This window comes from Homo sapiens, chromosome 8 (assembly GCF_000001405.40).
Source record: "Homo sapiens chromosome 8, GRCh38.p14 Primary Assembly".
Classification (NCBI taxonomy): domain Eukaryota; kingdom Metazoa; phylum Chordata; class Mammalia; order Primates; family Hominidae; genus Homo; species Homo sapiens.
In genome coordinates, this window is record NC_000008.11 from 124,830,574 (window position 1) to 124,857,515 (window position 26,942).

At 46.0% G+C, this 26,942-nt stretch overlaps 1 long non-coding RNA gene across 6 annotated transcripts, besides 4 other annotated features; it reads right to left on the minus strand.

Annotated features, from left to right (window-relative positions):
• Positions 1-1,668: 1,668 nt before the first annotated feature.
• Positions 1,669-26,942, minus strand: LOC105375743 (uncharacterized). 6 transcript variants are annotated; one of them, NR_188058.1, is made up of 3 exons: positions 26,790-26,942; positions 9,551-9,689; positions 1,669-4,570 (listed from the first exon to the last, which is right to left on the minus strand). It is a non-coding gene; the product is annotated as an uncharacterized LOC105375743 (long non-coding RNA). The 6 variants fall into 6 exon arrangements; NR_188059.1 differs by lacking the exon at positions 26,790-26,942 and adding an exon at positions 17,442-17,501; NR_188063.1 differs by lacking the exon at positions 26,790-26,942 and adding an exon at positions 9,928-9,951.
• Positions 4,106-4,609: an enhancer, noted in NCBI's record as "H3K4me1 hESC enhancer chr8:125846921-125847424 (GRCh37/hg19 assembly coordinates)". NCBI's record gives its function as "activates a minimal SCP1, AML or CMV promoter by ChIP-STARR-seq in naive H9 embryonic stem cells {active_cell/tissue: H9 hESC(naive)}" and the evidence as "EXISTENCE:reporter gene assay evidence [ECO:0000049][PMID:30033119]".
• Positions 17,190-18,389: an enhancer, noted in NCBI's record as "BRD4-independent group 4 enhancer chr8:125860005-125861204 (GRCh37/hg19 assembly coordinates)". NCBI's record gives its function as "activates an origin of replication core promoter dependent on BRD2, P300/CBP, MED14 and CDK7 cofactors, and independent of BRD4, by STARR-seq in HCT116 cells {active_cell/tissue: HCT116}" and the evidence as "EXISTENCE:reporter gene assay evidence [ECO:0000049][PMID:35650434]".
• Positions 17,534-17,828: an enhancer, noted in NCBI's record as "tiled region #6540; K562 Activating DNase unmatched - State 5:Enh". NCBI's record gives its function as "activates a minimal TATA promoter and a strong SV40 promoter by Sharpr-MPRA in K562 cells {active_cell/tissue: K562}" and the evidence as "EXISTENCE:reporter gene assay evidence [ECO:0000049][PMID:27701403]".
• Positions 17,534-17,828: a silencer, noted in NCBI's record as "tiled region #6540; HepG2 Repressive non-DNase unmatched - State 3:PromF". NCBI's record gives its function as "represses a minimal TATA promoter and a strong SV40 promoter by Sharpr-MPRA in HepG2 cells {active_cell/tissue: HepG2}" and the evidence as "EXISTENCE:reporter gene assay evidence [ECO:0000049][PMID:27701403]".

The following is a 26,942-nucleotide window of genomic DNA, read 5'->3' on the forward strand; positions in this document are numbered from 1 at the left end:
GCCTCCCAAGTAGCTGGGACTACAGATTAGCACCACCACGCCCAGCTGATTTTTTTGTATTTTTAGTAGAGATGGGGTTTCACCATGTTGGCCAGGCTGGTCTCAAACTCCCGATGCCAGGTGATCTGCCTGCTTTGGCCTCCCAAAGTGCTAGGATTAGAGGAGTGAGCCACCGTGCCTGGCCAAGTGTGTGCATTTTAGATTTTGAGAGCTTTTGCTGAATCACCCTCTGTAAAGGATTATCTTTATTATTCGGATGACTAAACTGAGGCTCCGGGAAGTTGTGTCATTTGACCTCAGCCATATCAGTGATATAATTTTATCACAGTTTGAGTCTAGGTGGGTCTATCTTCAAACCCCTATTCTCCCCATTACTCCACTCTATCAGGCTATCAGTTCTTAAAGCTCTTTCCATTGTCTATTATATTTTCCTTCCCCACCCTGTAACAATCACCAGGAAAAACCCTACAATGAAAGAGGCTTAGGTACAGGCCTCTTTCTTTTCTGGGAGACAGAAAAGAAGTGGGGAGGGGAGGCTAGATTCCACTCCACAGGTAGCTCTGGGATGGGGACAGGGCAGCTCCCCAAGATGAGAGCCAGTGGTGGCAGCTTTAAAGTGGTAAAGAAACAAGCTGAGTTTCTGCATGGAGGAAACAGCTCAGCCTGGGAGGGAGCCCTGGGGCCTTCCTTGGAGAAAAACTGGTAGTTTCCCAGACAGCCTGCAACCTTAATCCAGAAAAATCTTTGATAAGGAGTTGTCAGCTTCCAATGCTTCCCATTAGCCAAATTGCCTTGGATTCTCAGGACACCTCTGCCCAAAGGGCTGAGTGCTGATGTCAAAAGCCCTGTTCCTGGGATTCATTACAATTCTGGGCTTCTCTCCCTTTCTGCTTCTTCTCATCCTCCAGCTTCTCCATACCATCCTCATGGAGACTTGAAGTGACAATTGACAAAGCTTGGAGCTTCCCACAGAAAATTCCAGCCTGTTCTTGGTGCCTGTTGTACATGGGACAGAATTGGATGGTGGGTTGGAGTCAGGCTGGGGCTCAAATCCTGGACCTTTCTCTCTGGAACCCAAGGCAAGTGACTCAACCTCTCAGGATTTGTAAAAAGATACTAGTGTGCCCAGTCATAGAGTTGCTGGGAGGATTAAGGGCAATCATCACTATTTTTCATTTTCCAGACTCCCCAGGTTGCAGAGGTGACAGCTTCTGATGTTTGACACAGAGGCCAGTGAAGATAAAAATAATGACAGCATTTATGGGAGGCCAAGGCGGGCAGATCACGAGGTCAGGAGATCAAGACCATCCTGGTCAACATGGTGAAACCCTGTCTCTACTAAAAATACAGAAACTTAGCTGGGCGTGGCAGCACACGCCTGTAGTCCCAGCTACTCGGGAGGCTGAGGCAGGAGAATTGCTTGAACCTGGGAGGCAGAAGCTGCAGCGAGCCAAGATCATGCCACTGCACTCCAGCCTGGGTGACAGAGCGAGACTCTGTCTCAAAAATAAAATAAAATATATAAAATAAAATAAAATAAAATAAAATAAATAATGACAGCATTTAAGGACTGCTGACCCTGAGCTAGGCAGTGTTCTAAGTCTTTACATGTGTTATATATTTGTTATCTATTGCTCCATAACAAATTCTCCCAAAATGTAAGCAAAAAATGTTAAAATGTATTTTATTTTATTATCTCACAAAGTTTTTGTGGATCAGGTGTCTGGAGCAGCTTGGCTGGGTGGTGCTGGCCCAGGGTCCCTCATGAGGTTGCAGCCAAGATGTCAGCTGGAGCTGCATCATCTGAAGGCTCAAGTGAGGCTGCAGGATCCCTTTCCAAGATGATGTCTTGCATGCCTGGCTCATTTGTGCTGGGGGTTGGCAGGAGGCCTCAGTTCTTTGCCATGTAGATCTCTCCAGAGCATTGCTTAAGTGTCCTTATGACATGGCAGCTGGTTTTCCCTACAACAAGTGCTCCAAAAGAGCAAGGCAGAAGTTGCGATGTCTTATGTGACTTAGTGTTGAAGTCACACTATGTCATTTCTGCAACATCCTGTTGGTTACACAGGTCAGCCCTATCCATTGTGGGAGGGGCCTATACAAAGACACAATACCAGGAGGTGAGAATTACTGGAACCATGTTGGAGGCTGACTATACATCTATTAACTCATTTAATCCCTGAAATGCACCCACGGAGGCTTAGAAGAGACCAAGGTGAAGAAGGAGGTACTGAATGTGGGAGACCAAGAGGAGCAGAGGCAGAGGTTCTAGCGACAGTGCTACACCAGCATCAGCAAGGTGTGCAGGTTCATTCTTGTCTAATGGCAATGGTGTCTCCAGTGGAGAAGCCGGGTCAGGAGTGGTTGGTGAGTTGTTCCTGGGTGTGTCTCTTCCACGCCTGACTCTTCAGCCCTGCTGGAGATTCTGTGAGCCACCAAATATATAAAAGGCTTGACTGCTTAAACTAGTTGAAGAAGGTTCTATTACCTGAAATGAAGATCTGCAATGACTGCTACGAGCTGTTCAGAGCACAAAGGCTCTTGTTATTCTTGCAGATTGAAGATCATTAAGTATGAGAGAGCCATCAGCATAATGTGAATGGTCCAAGGGCCACATCATCTTAGGTGTTATTAGCAAAAACAGAGCCCCTAGAATAAAGGAGGTGAGAGTGCATTCCTATTCTGCACTGGTCAGAAGACAGCTGGAATAAGTCTGCAAGCTATTTATTTAAGAGAGACAGTAACAAATTAGAGCCTGTCAAGAGGATAGGGGCCAGGATGGTGGCAGAACACAAAACGAAACCCTGAGGCCTAGGAGATGTTTTCTGTGGGGAAGAGAAGACACTGAGGGGGCCGTGGAGCTGTTTTCACATATATAAAGTTTTCCCTTACGGCATCATGGTGCAGAAGGCTGGAAAGACTCAGGCTCAAATCCTGGTCACTTCCTCTGTGTGGCCCTGGACAGGCCCTGCTATGGTTTGGATATTTGACCCCTCCAACCCTCATGTTGAAATGTGATCCCCAATACTGGAGGTGGGGCCTCATGGGAGGTGTTTGTGTCATGGTGGCTGATCCCTCATGAATTGCTTGGTGCCATTCTTGCATTGTAATAAATGAGCTCTCACTCTATTAGTTTTCATGAGAGCTGGCTGCTAAAAATCCTGGCACCTCTGCACCACCCCCTCCCCATTCCTCTCTTAGCATGTGATCTCTGCACACTAGCTCTCCTTCCCCTTTCCATGAATGGAAGCTTCCTGAGGCCCTCACCAGACCAGACGCTGGCTCCATGCTTCTTGTACAGCCTGCAGAACCATGAGCCAAATAAACCTCTTGTCTTTATAAATTACCCAGCCTCGGGTATTCCTTTATAGCAACACAAATAGACTAAGACAGGCCCTTAAGTTCTGTGAGTAATTTATGGCAACAGTAACATGTAGGAAATGTTTAATGTATGTAGGCCCTCTCCCCTTTACCCTCAGCACCCATGAGGGTATAAGAGACAGATTTGAACTTGGTCTGAAAATGGAATGCAAGCAGTGATTGCCTGCCCTTGGAGGAAATCAAGTACAGGCTGGGTGACCTACTGGACCGTCTACCCTTATTGAGCGCTTCTGGAGGCTGTGTCCACATTAAGCATGGTACATGCATTTTCTCACTTATTCCTATTGACAATCTTATGAGTAGGTGCTATTATGTCCATTTTGCAGGTGGAGAAACTGAAGCCCATAGAGATGAAATAGCTTGTGAGTGGCATTGTCAGCATTTGAACTCAGCCCTCTCTGACTCCAAAGCCTGTGTTTGTAACCATTCTTGGCTGCTGAAGGCAGGGGAGTGGGGAGTGGTAGGCAGAGAAGGTAGGGGGTGGGACAAGTATTAGGAAGAGCTGGCATGGATGCTCTCTAAGACTCTTTCTAATTCAGAGCTTCAAGATGCTTTGGTTTCCTCGAGGCTGTGAAACAAAGCTCCTGGCACAGGCTGTGCCTCAGCCCAGCCTCCCAACCCCCTGCAGAATGTCTGGCACGGCAGCCTGACTTTCCGCTTCTGCACGCCTGGAAGGAACGAGACAGAGAAGGGGCCTCACTGCTCCCCGAATGCCATGGCAGGCCCTCGCAGTGGGGCCCCAGGCGGCCAGCATTGTGCAAGCCGGAGAAGCAGGCCCTGGAATCCTTTCTTTTCCGGAGAATTTACACGCAGGACAAAGAGAGCCATTATCCCCTTGGCTGCCACGGCTGCTGCCCAGGCCTGTGGCCCAGGTGTCACATGCTGCCGCCATCTCTCAGCCTGCTTTCTCTCTTTGTCTGAGGAAACACAGAGCTTGGCCTCTGATCCCTTCCCTGACACCTCCCCAGCCCCCTCCAGGCCTTGGTTTCTGGCCACTGCTTTTCTGAAATGAACTTGAATCCTGGTAGACTTGGACAAACCAGAGGCAGTTTTGAGGGTGATGGACCAGGCTAGGGCTTTGGGATGCTGCCGCTGTATCCCTGTGACCACATGTGGACACCAGCGCTGTCAGTGGGGGCTCTGGCACCCTGCATAGTTTACACCGGGCTCCATCAGGGCTTTCCATTGCCTACAAAATAAAGCAGATTTCCTTTGCTGGTCTTTGCACCCTGCATCCCCTCTCGTTTCCACATTCCGATTACACAGCAACATGGAAGCAGCTTCGGGAGCTTCCTGTCACTCTGCATGAACCTCCCACCTTGGTACATTTGCTTATGCTTTCCTCTTCACTTAGGGGGTCTCTTCCCACCTTTTTCACTGGCTAAGTCTTCCTAATCCTTCAAACCCAAGCTCGGGTGTCATCTCCAAGGCCTCAGCTCCCCTCCACTGGGCTCCCTTAGAACCTTCAGTTGTTACCTGCCATGGGCCAAGTGGTGTGCTGGTTATGGGAGGGGCCTCTTGAGCGAGACTGCCTGGGTTCAAGTCCTGACCCTGCCATCTACCCACCATGTAACCCTGGGCTTCAACTTGTTTGCCTATAAAATGGAGATGATTGGCTGCTTGTCAGGATTATGTGAAATCACACCTGTGGTTAGTAAAGCCCCTGGCACAGAGTGAGTGCTCAACAGAGGTGGCGTTATCATTATTTAACAAAGCATTTATCAAATGCCCTTGGTGTGTTGTATCTCAACAAGGCTGGGAAACACAAAGAACAAGATCGATGCAGCCTTGCTGCTCAGGGAAGCACGCAAATGGAAGCCCAAGAGACCTCACAGCCCCTGGAATACAGGTTATGGAAAGGATGGGTCAAGGGGCTACGGAATCAAACCTGGAGAAGGGAGTGGCTCCACTTGGGATTCCTGTGTCCCCACTGTTTGGGACAGATCCTCATCTTCCAGGGAGGCTGGGCTGAGGCATTGGTCTTCTGCCTATCTTCTACCTGTGTTCCTGGCTGCAGAGCACTCACGGGTGGGGTAGAGGACTTCCAGAGAGATCTCAGACTGTCTTGCTCATCACATTTGTGCCTCTCTCCTGGGTCATCCCTACCAGCATACAAGCATGCAGCACTGTCTCTTCTCTTAAGAAATAAGAGCAGACTCCCCTGAGCCCACACCCACCTCTGCTCCTCCCCTCCACATACACACTTCTTGGCTTTCTTTCCTAACAAATTTCCTCTAAGGATGGACCTATTCCCAGACTTTACTCCCCACCCTCTCAGGTTCTCCTCAGTCTACTCCAATCTGCTTTCATCCTCATTGAACTACTATTTAATACCATGAAGGTCTCCAAGGATCTCCATCCTGCCCAAACCACTGGAGAATTTTCATTCTCCTTTTGCTGGGATTGGATGGTGATTTGACCAGCTCATCATTGCCTCGTTGTATTGGTTTTCCATTCCTGCAGCAGCAGATTGCCACAAAGTTAATGGCTTAAAACAACACACATTTGGCCAGGTACAGTGGCTCACACCTAGCACCTTGGGAGGCCGAGGTAATCCCAGCAATTTGGGAGGCCGAGGCAGGTGGATCACCTGAGGTCAGGAGTTTGAGACCAGCCTGATCAACATGGAGAAACCCTGTCTCTACTAAAAATACAAAATTAGCCGGGCTTGGTGGCACACGCCTGTAATCCCAGCTACTCAGGAGGCTGAGGCAGGAGAATCGCTTGAACCCGGGAGGTGGGTGTTGCAGTGAGCCGAGATCATGCCATTGCACTCCAGCCTGGGCAACAAGAGCGAAGCTCCATCTCAAAAACAACAACAACAACAACAAAACCCACACACATTTATCATTTTACAGTTCTGTGGGTGAAGTCAGAGATGGGTCACACTAGGCTAAAATGCAGGCAGGGCTGCATTCCTCTCTGGAGGCTCTAGAGAAGAATCTGTTTCCTTGCCTTTTCCAGATTCTAGAGACTTCTAGAGGCTGCTCATATTTCTTGGTTTGTAGCTCTCTTCTTCCATCTTCAAAGCCAGAAACACCAAATATCTCTGTCCATTCTTCAGTAGTCATCTCTCTCGCTGACCTTAACCAGGCAATATTCTCTGCTTTTAAGTCCTATCCAAATAATGCAGGACAGTCTCCCCATTCCAAGGTCCCTAACCTTAATCACATCTGCAATGCCTCTTTGCCATCTAAGGTCACATATTCACAGGGTCAGGGAATTAGGACCTGACATCTTTCAGGGGTCATTACTCTGCCTACTCCACTGATTCTATAAAAACTTTCTTTCCTTTGTTTCTGGAATGCCATTCTTTCATTGCTTTCCTCCTGCTGAACTGGTTTTAGACTTCTTTACTGGTCTTCCTTCTCATTGTAATTTATAAATGCCAGAGGGCCTTAGAGCTCAGTCCTCAAGCCTTCTATATTCACCGTGTAGGAATCGCACTCAGGCCATTGGACCTATACATATTCTTAGCTCCTTATCTTCAGTTTCAATCTCTCCCCTAGCTCCAGATTCAAAGACTATCAAAACATCTACTTGACATTTTCTTTAGGAGACACCTCAAAATGTGCATTTTCTCATTTAACACCTCAAATTTAACATGTCCAAAGATGAACTCTGTATCGTTTCCAAATATTTTCTTCTTCCTTCTCTTCCTCATCTCAGGAAAAAGCACCACCATCTGGCTGGGACCAAAAGTCTAGGAGTCATTCTTTTTTCTTTCTTTCTTTCTTTCTTTCTTTCTTTCTTTCTTTCTTTCTTTCTTTCTTTCTTTCTTTCTTTCTTTCTTTCCTTTCTTTTCTTTCTTCCTTTCCTTCCTTCCTTCCTTCCTTCCTTCCTTCCTTCCTTCCTTCCTTCCTTCCTTCCTTCCTTTCCTTCCTTCCTTCCTTCCTTCCTTCCTTCCTTCCTTCCTTCCTTCCTTCTTTCTTTCTTTCTTTTTCTTTCTTTCCTTTCCTTTCTTTTCTTTTTTTTTTTTTTTAAAAGGAGTCTCATAATCCCAGCACTTTGGGAGGCCAAGGCGGGTGGATCACGAGGTCAAGAGGTCGAGACCATCCTGGCCAACATGGTGAAACCCGTCTCTACTAAAAATACAAAAATTAGCCGGGTATGGTAACAGGTGCCTGTAATCCCAGCTACTCAGGAGGCTGAGGCAGGAGAACAACTTGAACCCAGGGGGTGGAGGTTGCAGTGAACCGAGATTGTGCCACTGCACTCCAGCCTGGCGACAGAGCAAGACTCTGTCAAAACAAAACAAAACAAACAAAACAAAACAAAACAAAAAAAGGAGTCTCACTCTGTCACCCAGGCTGCAGTGGCACAATCTCAGCTCACTGCAACCTCTGCCCCCTGGGTTCAAGCAGTTCTCCTGCCTCACCCTCCCAAGTAGCTGGGATTACAGTTGCCTGCAACCATGCCCAGCAAACTTTCGTATTTTTAGTAGAGACAGGGTTTCACCATTTTGGCCAGGCTGGTCTTGAACTCCTGACCTCAGGTGATCCGCCTGCCTCGGCCTCCCAAAGTGCTGATTATAGTCACGAGCCACCGTGGCTGGCCTAGGAGTCATTCTTGACAACATTTTCTTGCACTCCACTTCCTGGTGAGCAGCATGTTGACTGTACATTCAAAGTAGGTCTTGAGTCCACCCATTTGTCATCACTGGCCATGAGCATCTTGGTCCAAGCCACCACCTCATCTCACCAGGATTACTACAACAATCTTCTAAGATCCCGGCTTCCACCTGTGCTGGGCATGGTGGTGCATGCCTGTAGTCCCAGCTACTTGAGAGGCTGAGGTGGGAGGACTGCTTGAGCCTGGGTGGTCAAGGCTGCAGTGAGTCGTGATTGCACTACTGCACTCCAGGCCGGGTGACAAAGCGAGATCTTGTCTCAAATTAAAAAAAAAGAAAAAAGAAAAGAAAAGAAAAGAAGATGGGAGGCAAAGCCTCTGAGGGAAACTGTCTCCATGGCAACCAAGGCCCAGTGGCTGCTCTTGAGGGAAGGCCAGAGGGGGCGGTGGGCTGATGGAGCCTGTGGGGACATCATGGGAAACAGCAAGTCAGTGCCCAGCCTGGCACACACAGCTCAGACCCCGAGACCCCCTCGCTGACTTCCATCTCATCGCTCTGGCCTTGGCAGACCCAGCAGATGGGCTCTCAGCAGAGCCCTGGAACTCAGCCGAGCTGGGCTCTGCTGGCACAGGACAGCTCTCCACTCTTGAGCCCGACAGAGCTCCCCAGACCAGGAAATTCTGGATCATGAAGCTCAAAGGAACCTTACCAGGTAAAGAGCTATCCTGCAGCAGGACTGCAGACGAGAGCCCCAGGATGGTGCTGCCTAGTGCAGTAAGAATACTGCAACCCTAGCAGCCAGCCTGCCTCTCCCTGGGCACCTGGGGCATGCCTCACCTTCCCCCTCTGCACCCTCACAGTAACTATGGGAACTGGGCTATTTATCCCCATTTCAAAAATGTGACCTGAAGGCCAGACAGGGTAAGGGTCTTGTTCAAAGTCACACAGCGAAGAAGCACTGGATCTGGGGCTGGGAATGGTGGCTCATGACTGTAATCCCAACACTTTGGGAGGTCGAGGCGGGCAGATCACCTGAGATCACGAGTTCGAGACCGGCCTGGCCAACATGGTGAAACCCTGTCTCTACTAAAAATACAAAAATTAGCCAGGTGTGGTGGCTCACGCCCGTAATCCCAGCTATTCGAGAGACTGAGGCAGGAGAATTGCTTGAACCTGGGAGGTGGAGGTTACAGTGAGCCAAGATCATGCCATTGCACTCCAGCCAGGGCGAAAGAGTGAGACTTTGTCTCAAAAAAAAAAAAAAAAAAAAAAAGAAGAAGAAGAAGTGCTGGATTTGGGACTGCATAGCCCCCTTCTCTGTTTCTGCTTTATGTCCTGTGCATTAACCCCTCCTGGGTATTGGGCTCAGGCCCACCTGCACCTCCTCGTTAGGCTGCTTGTCACAGAAACCTTTCTTTTGCAGCATGCTACATGGCATGTCTTGTCCTTTGTGTGCTGTTGATTTTGGGCCATTTTGGAATCACATTTTATCCTATTTTGGTAATGAATACACATCATTAACTCTTCTGCCAAACGTCCACTGCGCCCATGCTCCGTGCCAGGTGGGCCATGATGAATAATAACAACGCAAATACTTACTGGGAAGCATTTTCTTTGTGCCAGGCTCTGTCCCATGTGCTTCACGTGGATAGACGCTTTCGGCTCTCACAGCAACCCTCTAGGGTAGGATATTTTGCTCTTCCCATTTTTCAGGTGAGGAGACTGGCTTGGCTTCTAGCTTTTGGGCAAAAAAGGAAGAAACATGCATTTGTTGAGCACCTGTGAAGTGCCAGGCCTGCACAGGAGGGAGCATCCCCTCCATTTTTCAGGCGAGCAAGCTCAGGTGCAAACAGGAAGTGCATGGGAGAGGCAGAGGCTGCCACTCTCTGCCCCTCACACTCACTTCCCTCCCCCTGACCTTCAAGGCCATTTCCTCCCCACTTTTTTCACCGTAAGTCCTCGGGAGCTGTGTCCACCTCTTAGGCGACAGCAGCAAAGACAGCAAAAGTGTGTCCTGTGACATCGTTTCCTCTTTGCCCAGCGCACTTCCTCTCTTCCCCTCCTGAAGTTCACTGTGGCGTCTTCCCTGTCTGGGACAGTGCTGTAAGCCCCAGCCTGACTCTCCTCAGTCCCTGCCCCCTGACTCAGCACACCCCATATCCCCCATGACCCACCGAGGCCCTGCTCTGAATGAATGAATGAAAGAGGAGGCTGCCCTTGGGGAGGAGTGACTACCCAGTCCCCTCCCTTTCAGAGCCATGTGGGTGATAGGACTTTCAAGGGAAGAAGCATCCTTTTTTGTTAATTTTTAATTTTTGTGGGTACACAGTAGGGTATATATATTCATGGGGTGCATTTTAAAGCTAAAAATTTATTATTCCTTTTTCTACTACAGAAGTACTCCATGTTCATTGTTGAAAAAATGAGAAGTTTTTTTCAACAATGTGACTAGGGTGAATCTCTTCAGTTCTGAGCCTTGGTTTCTAAAAAAATAATCTAGGAGGAAACAAAAGTAAGTATCCTAAGCATACAAAGGCTTTGTACTTACAGATCTGCTCATTGCAATATCGTCTGTGCCCTTGAGAAATTAGAAACTTGCTGGAGATCCATCAATAACGGATCAGTTAAAAAACTATGGCACATTCAACTGGGCACTGGGGCTCAAGCCTGTGATCCCAGCACTTTGGGAGGCAGAGGTGGGCAGATCACTTGAGGTCAGGAGTTCGAAACCAGCCTGGACAACATGGTGAAACCTCATCTCTACTAAATACACACACACACACACACACACACACACACACACACATTAGCTGGGCGTGGTGGTGGGCACCTGTAATCCCAGGTACTTGGGAGGCTGAGGCAGGAGACTGTCTTGAGCCTAGGAGGTGGAGGTTGCAGTGAGCCGAGATCAAGCCATTGCACTCCAGCCTGGGTGACAAAGCGAGACTCCGTCTCAAAAAGAAAAACAAAAGCAAAAACAAAAAACGATGGCACACTCATGTAAGGTCCACAAAAAAGTATGATATGAATCCATATTCACTGAGTTAGAAACTTCTCCTGGACTTTCCAGTGAATGATAAAAGCAGCATTACAGTGGATGTCATGGGTATTTTCTACTTGCCTCTCCTATCCACTCTGTGTACTGTTGCCAATGGGCTTCCATACCCTCTAACTCTGGTTGGGTTGGCCAATGGGAGACATGAGCTTGTTAGAGGTTGGGAGAAGAGTGAGGCGAGAGTGTTTATTCCTCTGACTCCATCTCTGCTGGTTTTCTAGGGCTGGTTGTGACTGCACTGAAGGCTACACTTTCTGACAGGCTCTGATTTGCAGTAACCACTCCTTCTAATTGCCTTTCAGCCCTAAGGGTGTTAATGGTTCTCCCCCATTGCTAGCCCTGATGTACTACACTATTCCTTGCTGGTTTTCCTAACCTCTGCCCACATCTATGTAAATAGTTCCTTTATTAAACTCTCCTCAGTTACCCAGTTGAGTATTCCATCTCTTTCTGCCAAGAGCCTAACCAATACAATAACACAGTCCCATGTAGGTAAATTCATAATTCATATCCATTCATATATCCAATAAGAGAGGTCTGGAAGGATATTCATGAAAATATTACTGTTTCAGTGTGTTGGGATTTGGGTGGGCTTCTTTTTCTTCTTTTTGTTTTTTCTGAAATGCCTAACCTTTTCCACAATAAGCAAGGATTATCTTTGAGTTCAGAAAACTAAACAAAACAAGCAAAACAGTTGTTGTAGAGGTCAGAGGAAAGCAGGACATGACAAGTGCTTTGTACATTAGGACTTGCCATTCAAACTTAAGGTCCCAGTGAGTGAGCCAGCTGGTCCAAAAATCTCTAGGACATTTGCATTGAGATCCAATTCCTGATTTCCTCAAGATAAAGGCTGATTTCCCTCCAGAGAGAGTAAGTCAAATGTGAATGAACCAGTCCCGCGTCCCTGGTTTTTTCATTCCAGAGCATCTCAGCAAATAGTCAAGTTCAGACCAGTTCTTCTCCAGTAGTCTGCCCCCACCTGCCCTCCAGGTCAGTGAGCCACCTGCCATTCCCAAGCCCCTTAATGAGCAAGGGCAGAGAGGGCCTGATGAAACACAGGGTGATGAACTTGCAGTGCAACTGCCCCTCTGGTCTCATGGGTCAGCATGTCTGTGCCAAAGTGAAAGAGATGACTTCCAAAGGAATGCCTTCTTTTTCATGGAACTTGGCAATGAATTAATCATTGTTTATCGGGGCTATGTGATCCTTGGTCCCAGTAATGGTGCTAAGACATAAATCACAGCTCTTTGGGGGTGGGGTTGAGAAGGGGGCCCAGGATAGCTCTAAAGCCCCGTTCTTCTAACATGAAAAAAATATCCTTCTTTTCAGGCGGCTGGGAGTGGACTCTGGGCTATTTATAATCTGCTGCTGCCGAGCTAAGGCATTTCTGCAGCTGGGGCTGGGAGATAATCAGCACAGTTTTTTCTTTTTTTCTCGAGCCAGGTCTGCAAAACAGACCCATCTCCCCTGGCAGTCCACCCCAGCTCACTCCAGCCCAGCCCAAGCGCTTTGCCCCAGGTCCTCTGAGCCTGGCCTCCCTCACTTTGCTTTAGCTTCCAAGAAAGCAAAGGGTTCATTTAACAGCAGAAAGGACAAAATATCTCAGCTCAGAGTTGAAGGCTAGGATTGTGACCTGCTGGCAGATGGATTTGCCTAGAACTAGCCTGTGGAATGTCCAAGGAACTTGGCACAAAGCGTCTTTCAGAGCTATGGGGAAGGGGCACATGCCAAGGACTCCATTCTCTTCTCTCAGAAGTTGCTCCAGATAGAAAAACAGGGTCCCAGGGGAGGGCAAACACCAAATTACTCCCATTGTATATCTCGGCAGGAGAGCAAGCATAAAGGCAAAACTTCTGGAATAAGGCTCAGAAGACCTGAGTCTTAGCCCTGCTTCCACCATGACAGACTGGTGACACACTGGTGACGAGGGGCAGGCATCTTCAGGTCTTTGGATCTTAGTTTCCTCATCTATAAAATAGGCAGCTAGGCTCAGGGGTTTCCTCACTTTTTTCTTTTTCTTTCTTTTTTTTTTTTTTTTTTTTTTTTTTTTTTTGTAGATAGAGTGTCTTTCTGTCGCTCAGGCTGGAGTGCAGTGGCCTAATCTCAGCTCACTACAAATTTTGCCTCCCAGGCTCAAGGGATTCTCCTGCCTCAGTAGCTAGGAATACAGGCACCTGCCACCACACTGGCTAATTTTTTGTATTTTTGGTAGAGACGGGGTTTCACCGCGTTGGCCAGGCTGGTCTTGAACTCCTGACTTCAGGTGATCTGCCTGCCTTGGCCTCCCAAAGTGCTGAGATTACAGGCGTGAGCTACCCTGCCCGGCCAACACTTTTAAAACCCTTTAAGGCACTTTTATAAAAACAATATTGCCTAGAAGCAGGATATATAAAACAGATACAGCAGGGTAACCGGTTGAAATGGAGTAGGGAGGGAGCTGAGGGCAGCAAGCCCACCCACTTGGCCTCTTCCTCAGTCTGACCTGATAGATCAGAAGCCTAGGGTTCTGGGAGAGTTGGATCACTGCTGGTTCAAGAATCTCTAACATTCTAATGAATTTTGAAATTCACTCTTTGGTTCATCCATTTTTCCTCACCAAGTATTTACTGAGCTCCTACCATGTATCAGGTTGGCCTTGGTATTGTGGATAAAAGGATGCTAAGAAAGCCACTGTTTTCATCTCATGGAGCTTGCTCTCTGGTTGGGGAAAAATATATGAATTAAATAAACACTATGTGTTCATGTATGTGTATTACTGGATTGAATACGGTCCTCTTCCCAAATGTATGTCCTTCTAGGAACTTCAGAATGTGATCATATTTGGAAATAGGGTCTTCACAGATGTAATTGGTTACGATGAGGCCGTACCAGAGTAGGGTGGGCCCTAAATCCAGTATGGCTGGTATCCTTACAAGAAAGGGAGAAGGGACATGAAGACAGACACACACAGGGAGAATGACAGGTGATGGCCAAGGCAGAGATGTAGCTACAGGCCAAGGAAAGCCAAGGATTGTCAGCAAACCACTAAAAACTAGGATGAAGCAAGAAAGGATTTTTCTCTATGGAGGCAGCCTGGCCCAGCTGCTAACACCTCGATATCAGACTTCTGGCTTCCAGAACTAGAAAAGAAGACATTTCTGTTGCTGTAAGCCAAGTGTGTGGCATTTACTACAGCATCCCTAAGAAACTTACAAAAATATAGATGGGCTGGGCACGGTGGCTCACACCAGTAATCCCAGCACTTTGGAATGCCGAGGTGGGCAGATCACGAGGTCAGGAGATCGAGACCATACTGGCCAACAAGGTAAAACCCTGTCTCTACTAAAAATACAAAAATTAGCTGTGTGGTGCATGCCTATAATCCCAGCTACCCAGGAGGCTGAGGCAGGAGAATCGCTTGAACGCAGGAGAATCGCTTGAACCCAGGAGGCGGAGGTTGCAGTGAGCCGAGATCGCACCACTGAACTCCAGCCTGGCAACAGAGCTAGACTCTGTCTCAAAAAAATAAAGAAATAAATAAAAATAAAAATACAGATGGTTCTCATTTTTCACAGTAGCTATGTTTTTTTTTTAATTATACTTTAAGTTCTATGGTACATGTGCACAACATGCAGGTTTGTTACATATGTATACATGTGCCATGTTGGTGTGCTGCACCCATTAACTCGTCATTTACATTAGGTATATCTCCTAATGCTATCCCTCCCCCTTCCCCCCACCCCATGACAGGCCCCAGTGTGTGATGTTCCCCTTCCTGTGTCCAAGTGTTCTCATTGTTCAATTCCCACCTATAAGTGAGAACATGCGGTGTTTGGTTTTTTGTCCTTGTGATAGTTTGCTGAGAATGATGGTTTCCAGCTTCATCCATGTCCCTACAAAGGACATGAACTCATCATTTTTTATGGCTGCATAGTATTCCATGGTGTATATGTGCCCCATTTCCTTAATCCAGTCTATCATTGATGGACATTTGGGTTGGTTCCAAGTCTTTGCTATTGTGAATAGTGCCACAGTGCATATACGTGTGCATGCGTCTTTATAGCAGCATGATTTATAATCCTTTGGGTATACACCCAGTAATGGGATGGCTGGGTCAAGTGGTATTTCTACTTCTCACAGTAGCTATGTTTTATAAAGTCACTACAAGCACTGAATTAGTGAATACTGAACCATTGATCCTACAGTAAATATAGGTTGAGGTTCCTGTGAGCCTCTAGTTCCATCAATCAATACGTAGCCTTGTTTTATGTGTGTTCTTGTTTAAAGACACCTTACTTAATACACATTGTTGATCCATTGACATTGAATTCAATACCAATAGCAATACAAGATGCTTGAGTGAATATGACCTAATACTCACATTTCCTCTGTGAGGCACAACACAGCCTTCTCATGCTCATGAATGCTAGGCAGCACTTAAGCACTATGCTTGGGGCCATTTGAAACAAGCAGTGACACCATCAACAAAAATCTTGAAAATGTGGGCCAGGCACAGTGGCTCATGCCTGTAATCCCCCAGCACTTTGGGAGGCTGAGGTGGGTGGATCCCTTGAGGTCAGGAGTTTGAGACCAGCCTGGCCAACATGGTGAAACCCCATCTCTACTAAAAACACAAAAATCAGCCAGATGTGGTGGCACATCCCTGTGGTCCCAACTATTCGGGAGGCTGAGATGAGAGAATCTCTTGAACCCGGCAGGCGGAGGCTGCAGTGAGCTGAAAAAAAAAATTTTCTATATGTTTTTCTCTTCTTTGTTTCTTTCTTTCTTTTTTTTTTAACTCTCTCTCTCTGTTGCCCAGGCTGGAGTGCAATGTGTGATCTCGGCACACTGTGACCTCCATCTCCCAGGTTCAAATGATTCTCCTGCCTCAGCCTCCCCAGTAGCTGGGACTACAGGTGCATGCCACCACACCAGGCTAATTTTTATATTTTTAGTAGAGATGGGTTTTCATCATGTTGGTCAGGCTGGTCTCAAACTTCTGATCTTGTGATCCACCTGCCTTGGCCTCCCAAAGTGCTGGGATTACAGGCATGAGCCACCATGCCCAGCCTAAATGTTTTTCACCAAATTGTTTTATAAATGTTTGGCACTAAACTGACCATGAAAAGGACACTTGTTTGAGAGCATGAGAGCAGAAACAGGAAGGCAAAGTGTCTCCTTGTTGGATCTCAGCTGGGGATGGGTGCATTGGGTGACTCAAATCTTTTGCAGCTCTGCATGTGTCTGCAAATGACCTTGAGGTTTAAGTGATGATTTTGGAGTTATAAATACATTTTAGGGATTAGACAAATTCACACATACAGAACCTGCAAATAATGAGGATAGACTGTGCCCACATACACGCACGTTCAAATTATATGAAATGCTGTGGAGGAAAATAGCAGCATATTTTCAAAGACAAGAGAGAACCCCTTCCTTAGGTGGCACGGTCAGGGAGGCCACAAAAACGGTGGCATTTCAAGTCAAGGCTTAAGGGATAGAGAGGAACCAGGAGCACAGGGGAGAGGTTTACCAGCAGAAGGGGCAGCTCGTACAGTCCCAGTGGGAGGAAGGACAGCTGCACTTGCGAGGTGAAGTGGGAGTGTGAAGAACAAGACGGGAGAACAAGTATGGAATGCAAGAGGCAAGTCAGGCAAGGGCCTGAGTGGGTCAGGGAGAGCCTGGGAAGATCCTGGGTTTGGATTCCTTTCAAGGTGCAACGGGAAGCTTTGGCGTGTGTTGGGCAGGAGAGTGAAATGTCCTAGGTAGAGTTAAGGTTTTCTCTAGCTGCCCCATGGATTTGCCAGGGCAGGGTCTGTTTCCCTCAGCTGGCTCATCTGAGAAATAAATGTGTGATACTCTCAAATCCTTCTTTGGATTTAGAGAGAGGTATAAGTAAATGCCAAGTCCCATGTTACGGTGTGGTAATACTTGTTTGGTCCACTCATAATGGCATTTATTTTTTAAATCAGATCTACTGGGACTATAATGCTTCAAACCACGGGAGTAAGCCTTGCATGTGACCACTTCAGCTTCCACAGCAGGAAAAGGGAGGGAGATATTTTTAGAAGGGAGACCTCTCAGTGCCCCCTAAACCAGGCCGGAGGCACTGCCTGGCCCCAGAGGACCGTTGGCCTTGCCTATCAGCTTTCATCGTGGAGGAGGCGTGGGTGGACCGAGGTACCACAAGTTGCCAGGAATGCCTGACCAGAAACTGCTCTTGGGTGGGTCCCAGAGCTGCCTCCCCTTCACTTGACCCTAGGGCTGCTGGCTTCCTGGCCTTGTGAAATCTTCTAGAGGCAGGAAGAAGCCTGAGCGCTCCCTGACGCCACTTGAGTTTGACTTCATGGGTTTGCCGTGTGCCCCTGAACAAACCAGTTATCCTCTCTATGCCTTATTTCGGTATGCCCATCTAACACTAATTACCACCCCTCCCTGACTGCCCCCAAACCTTACCAGAAGAAATGGCATGAAGTTACGGAGACACTTTGAACTCATTGGCAAATTGTGCACTGTGAGGGGAAAGCACTGTGGCGGCCATTTTCTTTTCTTCCTTGAGAAAGTCCCTTGCTAATCATTAAGACTGGCTGAGTAAGCTTGTTCCTTTACATTTGGTGAGTAAGAAAGCCCCTCATGCTACCTCATCATATGTTCTTCCTCTTTTTCATGGCTTATCAACACTCCCTTCTGTAGGACATGCTGAGGAATTAGTATGAGTCAAAAGGAAGAATGACAAATAGGTGGTATTTCTGGTCTGGAGTTTGGAGGGCAAGTTCAGTCCAAAAGTTAGCTGCTTCAACCATCATGAAAGGTACAGAAACTCTAGGATGAATACACTTAGTATTTTTTATTATTTATTTATTTATTTTTTAGACGGAGTCTCACTCTGTCTGTCCCCCAGGCTGGAGTGCAGTAGTGCAATCTCGGCTCACTGCAACCCCCACCTCCCGGGTTGAAGCAATTCTCCTGCTTCAGCCTCTCAAGTAGCTGAGATTACAGTACACTTTGTACTTTAATATGCAAACTGCCTGCCTGCTCCAGAGAAGCAGCCTTTGTTCCTCAGTTCATCGCAACACTCAGCCTGTCAGTCAGGTTGTGGGATCCCTCCTATCCAGGAACTGTATGCTGTTGTCCCGGTTCTGACACTTTCCCTCTGAGTCCTTGGACACCTTACCTAACCTCTTGGAAGCTCCTGTCTGTGAAGGGTGTGCACAGAGAGCTTCGGTAGCCTGCGAAGCAGCCATTTTCACTTCCACGGAGCAGGTATTTTATTGCATTATTTCGAGCTCAAGGACTCCAGAATTAGATCCCCAAAATATGCCTGAGAAACATTTACTCCCCAGGAGCTCAAACTAAATAATGAAAACCATTGAAAACAACCAGGCAGCCCATGTCCTGAAGTCACCTTTTCCTGGGAGGTCCAGGAGAGTTTTTCCTACTTTCCCTGAGTTATCCTTCCCTTTCCTTCCCTTCCCTTTCTTCCCCAGAGGGCGATGCATGTTAATCAAGGAGCCTGCATTTGCGCAGGTATAGACAATTACACATTTACTGGGTCAGTTGCACCTGGGGGGGACGCCAATCTGTAAAGCAGAACCAAACCTCTTGCCTTCAGTCCTCAGAAGTTCTTCTGGTTAAAATCATCTAAAAAGTTGTTTCAAGTCTCCAGAACAGCTGAGATCAGCAAAAATAAATGAAGCTTCTTCTGTGTGGGTGCAGATGCTGGCCTGGGTGCTGGAATATGGAAATGAGGAAGATCCTGCCTGAGGATTTCATGACAGGTGAGGGGGAGAGAGGCCTGAGGAAGTTACCACCGGGGAAGGTGACAAGTGCAGTGATAGGATAAATACGAAGTGCAAAGAGAAGACAGACAAGAAGTTCAGCTAGCTAAGAAATGTGTTAATAACACCTTGATCAATCATTCCTCCACTTTTTTTTTCTTTTGAGAGTCTCATTCTGTCACCCCACCCAGAGTGCAGTGGCAGGAACACAACTCATTGCTACTTCAACTTTCTGGGCTCAAGCGATCCTCCTGCCTCAGCCTCCTGTGTAGCTGGGGCCACGTGTATTGCACCACCAAGCCTGGCTTATTTTTTAATTTCTTTTGTAAAGACAGGGTCTCACTATGTTGCCCAGACTGGTTTCAAACTCTTGGACTTAAGCAATCCTCTCATCTTTGCCTCCCAAAGTGCTGCGATTACCGACGTGAGCCACTGTGCCCAGCCTCACTTTAAAAAAAAAAAAAGGTTATGAAGCATCTCAACACAAGACCTCCTTTGCTCATCACAACCACCCAGTGAAGCAGGCAAGACAACAGAAACTCCCCACCTGTGATAGATGTGAGGCCTGAAGTCTCCCACATACCCACGGCAGATGCAACGCACAGCGGTGACCAATGGTAGGGATAACAAGTATTGCTTCCGCCCATTCAGTACTTCTTGCATGCCAGATCTGTGCTAAGTGCTAGATGAACACAGTCTCTTTTCATTCTCATAGCTCTTTAAAACAGGTATTGTTTTCTTTTAAAACAAATTGTTTTGTTAAATATAAATATCATGTACCTTATATATATATTATATATAAAAATACATGTAATTTACCATTTTAACCATTTCAAAATGTCCAGTTCAGGAGCATTAAGTACAGTCACATTGTTGTGCTACTGTCACTACACCATCCACAGAATTCTTCCTCTTTCCAAACTGAAATTCTACGCACTTTAAACAATAACGCCCTATTCCCCCCTCCCTCCAGTCTCTGGCACCCACCATTTTGCTTTCTGTCTTTGTGAAGTTGACCACTCCAGCTATATCATATAGTATTTGTCTTTTTGTGACTGCTTTATTTCAATTAGCATAATATCCTCAAGGTTCTTCTATGTTGTAGCATATACTGGAATTTCCTTGTGTGTGTGTGTATGAACCTCTATAAAGGATCCTTCCTTTTTAAGGTTGAACAATATTCCATGTATGTATATATCCAGTTTTGCTTATCTGTTCATCTGTCAATGAACACTTGGATTGTTGCCACATTTTAGTTATTGGGAATAATTTTGGCTATTGTGAATAATCTGTACACATGAGTGTACAGATATTTCTTTGATAAAATAGGTAAATAAAATTGCTTTATAAAGAAAAGCAATTTATTTCTCACAGTTCTGGAAGCTGGGAAGTCCAAGATCAAGGTGCTGGCATCTGGTGAGGGCCTTCTTGCTGCATTATTCCACAGTGGAAGGCAGAGGATTACAAGAGCGAGCAAGAGAGGACTGGCCTCACCTTTATAACAACTCACTCTTGCAATAACCCATTCCTTCTACAACAACAATATTAATCTCCTTTTTACAGTGAGGGAAACTGAAGTGCAGACATATTAATTTCTCCCAGTTTGTCAAATAATTCGTGGGAGAACCAGTCTCTGTGACTCCAAAGATAGGGTTCCCAACCATTGCACTATCCTACCGCTAAAAACCATGGGTTTTAACATCAAAAATATCTGAGTTCAGGTTTCCAGCTCTGCCACTAACTGACTGTGACACTGAGCAAGTCACTTAATCTCTCTGAGCTGAAGGCTATTGTGACAATTAGGTGAAGCAATGTGCTTAATTATAGTGCCTGGCACATAGTAAATGTTGAATACATATTGGCCTTTGTTATAATTGTATTAAGTGGTAGCAAGTGTGTAGAACTGACATGAGAAGCCAGGGTCTTTGATTCCTTGGCTGGAACCTGCCAGGTGGGCTACAGGGCTCCTGGCCAGATACTGGTTCTTACCAGCTGTGTTGTGAGCTGTGCCTATGCTACCTTTGTTTGTATCTCACTGGACAGGCAGGTCTGAAGCCTGGACCTGCCATCTACACTTCCACCAACCCAGGGCTAAGAATGTCACAGGCATTGTGTGACTGCAAGGTGTAAAGAAAAAAGCACTGTCAGGGAGTCAAGAGTAGGGCGTCCTAACCCAGCATAGCCACTAAACAGGCCCCTTCTCCTCTCCTCTGGGCCTCAGTTTCCCCACCTGTAGATGAAGGGTTTTACAGGTGCTGATTGCCAAGATCTGCATGTTCTGGAAACTCCTAAGCTATGATCTCCATTTAGTGTTGCCCAAGGCTTGGGTTGTGCAGTCAGACTGCCTGGGCTCAAACTCTGAGACTGAGGCCTGCTTGCTGTGTAACCTTGAGCCAAGGGCTTCTTATCTTTGCAGCCTTTGGTTTTTTCCATGATCAAAAATGGAGGATAATAACAGAGCTTGTGTTATGGGGCTTGTCTTTGTTGTGTGTTGCTGTAACAGAACACCACAGGCTGGGTAATTTATAAAGAAAAGCAATTTATTTCTCACAGTTCTGGAAGGTGCTGGCATCTGGTGAGGGCCTTCATGCTGCATTATTCCACGATGGAAGGCAGAGGATTACAAGAGTGAGCAAGAGAGGACTGGCCTCACTTTTATAACAACTCACTCTTGCAATAACCCACTCCTTCTGCAACAACATTAACCCATTCACGAGGGCACACCCCTCATGGCCTAATCACTTCTTAAAGGTTCCACATCCAAGTACAATAATAATGGCAATTAAATTTCAACATGAGTTTTGGAGGAGACATTCAAACCATAGCAAGGCTACTGTAGGGATTAAGCAAGATAATGTACCTGACATAATTCAGTGCTCAGTAAATGCTGGCTGTTAGTATTCTTCTTGTGATGATCATAGTGGATACTTGTTGACTTATTGACTTCTAGACAAGAGACCAAGAGTAGTACAAAAGGGTATAGTAGAGTCAAATATTATTTACTATCAATGATTCTTGGATTGCCCCTCTGATAATAACAAAAATAACCTACCTTGAAAGTTGTGGTGGAGATTAAGATAAAAATGTAACACCACCACTGTGCTAGCTTAATACATGAAAATTGGTAGTAGAATAATTTCTTTTTCTTTTTTGTGTTTTGAGATGGGGTCTTGCTCTGTCACCCAAGCTGGAATGTAGTAGAGCAATCATAGCTCACTGCAGCCTTGACCACCCAGGCTCAAGCAATCCTCCCACCTCAGCCTCTCGAGTAGCTGGCACTACAGGTGTGTGCTACATGCTCGCTAACTTTTTAATTTTTTAGTATAGACATGGATCTCGCTAGGTTGCCCAGGCTGGTCTGGAACTCCTAGTCTCAAGTGATTCTCCTGCCTTGGGCTCCCTAAGTGCTGGGGTTATAGGCATGAGCCACTGCACCTAGCTAAATTATTTCTATTTTAACGTTTTAGAAATTTGTTTTTCTTATACATTATTGGTGAAAGTGTATGTTGGTGCAATTCTATAACAGGCAGTTTGGCGATAGTTATCAAAACTGTAAACATATCTGCACTTAGACCCAACAATTCCACTTCTAATTACAGATATACAGTTGAAAAGTTATTTGTTGCAACATTCATTGTAGATGTCCAGCAGTTCAGGACTGATTAAATGAATTATGAATTAGAAAACTACACAGTTATAGGCCAGGCGCAGTGGTTCACGCCTGTAATTCTAGCACTTTGGGAAGCTGAGGCGGGAGGATCACTTGAGGTCAGGAGTTCGAGACCAGCCTGGCCAACATGGTGAAACCCCATCTCTACTAAAAATACAAAAATTAACCAGGCGTGGTGGCATGTGCCTGTAAACCCAGCTCCTCAGGAAGCTGAGGCAGGAAAATTGCTTGAACCCAGGTGGTGGAGTTGCAGTGAGCCGAAATCGTGCCACTGTACTCCAGCCTGGGTGACAGAGTGAGGCTCTGTCTCAAAAAGAAAACTATACAGTTCTAAAAAAAGATAAAGCTCTTCATAGTCTCATGTAGAAACATCTCTAAGATATATCATTTACTGAGAAAACTAAGAAGCAGAACACTATGTATCACTCTACAAATATTTACCTTTGTTTAAAAAGGACTCCAGGAGTCAGGGATATATAATCCTATCAGCATGTAAATATGTTTGTAGGCACAGTTTTTAAAAATCTCTGCAAGGATACACAGTGGGCACCGAGGTTTCTAGGTGACAATCAAAAGAGGGAGACTTTCTACTTTGTCTTTTCGTAATTATTTCTTGCAACCTTGAGAACGTATTACCTATTCAAAAAATTAAATAAAGTTTTATTAAGAAATAAAAAAGAAGGCAGGAAAGCAGGAAGGAAGGAAGGAAAAATGGAAGGAAGGAAAGGAAGGAGGGAGGGAGAGAGGGAAGAAAATGACAGAAGGAGGGATCTGTTTCTAGCTGTCCTTCTGGACAGAGTAAGGGTGATCTGATGTGTCTGAAGGACAGCAGGCCTGTCCTGGCTGAGGAGGTGAGAGACGTGTCAAGCATCACTGTGCACTGGATTTGGCTGGCCTTGAGTGTTTGTTATGATAAGGAAGGAGACACATATTTACCAGACAGAATTTCACACCAGGAGAAGTGGCAGCTCTACCTGGCAGGCTGACTTTTGACGGGGGTGTGACAGTGAGCTTGGGCTGCCCTCATGATCAGCAACCACCCTACTCTCATGACCCCCTCCTCAGGCACCCCACCCTCCCAGTAGGGAGGACACAGGTTTAGCCGTTGACACTGCCTGTCCTGAGAAAAGAGAATAAACATAAAGGGAAGGGCCTATGGCATTTGTTTCCTTCCATTGGCTGATTTCTTAGATGAATTTATTATGGCAAATATAAGAACCAATGGTCCAAAATTCTCAACACATGCAAGGCAGAGATGGTGATATTCATTCCCTAGGCCAGCACCCCTCCACCTCACTGGACAAATAATTTACAGAACTGTCATCTTTGACCTAGGAGTTTTAATAAGTTCCTGTCATTCATGATATGAATTTAGAGATGAATAAACAGTTATATAGAGAGATGTGTATTTCTGATCATTATCTCAACATTTAACTTTGAACAAATCTCTCTTCCCAGACTTTGGCACATATTACTATTATGATATTATTAATACTTATGATAATGTTCGTTTGTATAACATAAAAATATACATGGAAAACCGTATAAATGTAATAGCAATTTACAGTTTGTTTTCACATCTATTATCTTGTTTAATCTTCAAACACCCCTCCAAGGTGGGTGTTTATTCAACAAATATTTAGTGAGTGCTCATCATGTCCAAGATACTGTGGTAGGTCCTGGAGTTTCGGAGATGCAATAACATGACCATGGTGTGCAAGGTCTAATCTAGTCACAGTGATCCACACTCAAAGGGGTACAGGCTGAGTACCCCTTATCTGAAATACTTGGGACCAGAGATGTTTCAGATTTTGGATGATTTAAAATTTTTGAATATTTGCATATACATAATGAGATATCTTGGGGAGGGGACCTAAGTTTAAACACGAAATTTACTTGTGTTTGATATATATCTTGTACACATGGTCTGCAGGTAATTTTACACAACATTTTTATAATTTTGTGCATGAAACAAAGTTTTGACTGCCTTTTGCCTACAGCTTGTCCCATGAGGTCAGTTGTGGAATTTTTCCCTTATGGCATCATGTTGGCACTCAGAAAGTCTTGGATTTTGGGGCATTTCAGATTTCCGATTTTCGGATCAGAGATGCTCAACCTCTAATGCAACTACAGAGAAATTTGAGGTGATGAAGGAGGGCAGAGAGAAGGGCACCAACGTAACTAAGCAGTGGGGAAAAGATCAAAAAGGCTTCCCAGGGAAGATGTGGCCTGAGTTGAGCCTTCGAAGATGAATAGGAAGTGACCAGGCAAAATGAATGAGTGAGTTGAGATTGGACAGTCAAAAGGACTCCTCACGCTCTGAGATGGGGGAGGGAGGGCTTGGGAAAGATGAAGAAGGTGCTAAAGGAAAAGATGAATGGAAATAGAGAGAAGCTTTGGAGGGTGGCAAAAAGCTGAGGGACGGAGGGAGAGGCCCACTTCATAGAGGAGGAGACTGAGGCTCACAGAGATGGATCCTGACCACTCTTTAGATCTCAGGTCAAGTTGCCCTTCCCCTCCCCTTCCTTTTTGTGTTGTAAGAAGGTCAGGTCGATGTAAACAGACAACCTACAGAATGAGAGAAAATTTTTGCAAACTGTGCATCTGACAAAGGTCTAATATCCAGCATCTATAAGGAACTTAAACAAATTTTCAAGAGAAAAACAAACAATCCCCTTAAAAAGTGAGCAAAGGACATGAACAAACACTTTTCAAAAGAAGACATACACACAACCAAGAAGCATATGAAAAAAATCTCAATATCACTGGTCATTAGAGAAACGCAAATCAAACCACAAGGAGATACCATCTCACCCCAGTCAGAATGGCTATGATTAAAAAGAAAAAAGATGCTGGCAATCTATTATTTTTCTGTTGCGGAGAAAAGGGAACACTTATGCACTGTTGATAGGAGTGTTAATTAGTTCATCCATTGTGGAAAGCAGTATGGCAATTTATCAAAGAGCTAAAAGCAGAACTACAATTTGACTTAGCAATCACATTACTGGGTCTATACCCAGAGGAATAGAAATCATTCTGCCATAAAGACATGCACACGAATGTTCATTGCAGCATTATCCACAATAGCAAAGACATAGAATCAACCTAAATGCCCATCAATTACAGATTGGATAAAGAAAATGTGGTACACATACACCGTGGAATACTATGCAGCCATAAAAAAGAATGAGATCATGTCTTTTGTGGGAACATGGATGGAGCTGGAGGCTGTTATCCTTAGCAAACTAATGCAGGAACAGAAAACCAAATACCACATATTCTTACTTAGAAGCGGGAGATAAATGATGAGAATTTATGAACGCAAAGAAGGAAACAATAGACAACGGGGTCTACTTGAGGGTGGAGGGTGGGAGAAGGGAGAGGAGCAGAAAAGATAACTATGGGCTACTGGGTTTAATATCTGGGTGATGAAAATAATCCGTACAATCAACCCTCATGAAACGAATTTACCTATGTAACAAACCTTCACATGTACCCCTGAACCTAAAATAGAAGTTAAAAAAAAAAAAAGAGTGGAGGTGGCAAACAATGAGTCCTGAGTCTTGAGTCCACGTAGACCCAGATAGGGGAATCATTGAGTCAGCATCTAAAAGAGATCACTGGGTTTAGCATCTTTCTCCAGTGAGCTGCAGCCAAATGATGGGAGAAATTGGACTCAATGCACCTTAGGTGGCTGTTTCTTACTCCATATTACTCATTCCTCAGGAAACTTGTTAGTCCAAGACCTATTCTTTTGTGCAGAGCCTTTATTTATTGGTTTGGCCTGCTTCCCTGAAGAGTGGTCTGTCTGGTTCTCTCACCCCAGACACACCAGGGCTGATCCAACATATCTGGCTCAACATCACCCACAAGTCTCAACAGGGCCCTGAAAACCACCTCTGACTCCACAACCCACTGTCCCACGCCCTGGGAGGTAGGCTGTGTCTGGGCTTGCTCACGTCTGGGAACAGCAAAGTCTGGCCCAAGCCTGTTCAGCCTGTACCCTGCTTGGAGGTTGGCACGAGCCTCAGATGTTGGGCTCTGGCTGGGAGCATGGCCCCAGGAATTTGCCGAAGGGAAGTCCAGTGGAGCATCCAGGCAGTGGGAGAGGGTTGGGGGTGGAAACTCACCTCTGCTCCCTGTGGGAGTGTGGAGCAGCTCACAGAACATGAGGCTATGAGCACAGGATGGTGGTTAAGAGGCCAAGGGGTGTCCTGTGTTGGGATCCCCAAAGCAAACACAGTGAAAAGGACAAATGACTCGCTCATTAAGGAGGCGCTCCCAGGAAAGCCCAAGATAGGAGTGGGAGACATGGGACAGGGAAGAGGAAGAAACTAAACAAAGGAGCAGCCTGACCTTGAACCATAAAAAGGACTCTTCATCCTTTGGCTGATGAGTGATTCTTGCAATGTCCCAGCAGTAGCCTGACCCTGCAGGGGAGTTCTGCAGCAGAAGTTGTGCCTTCACCAGGAGCAGGGCTCCCACTGGCTCAGGGCTGCCTCGGGCTCT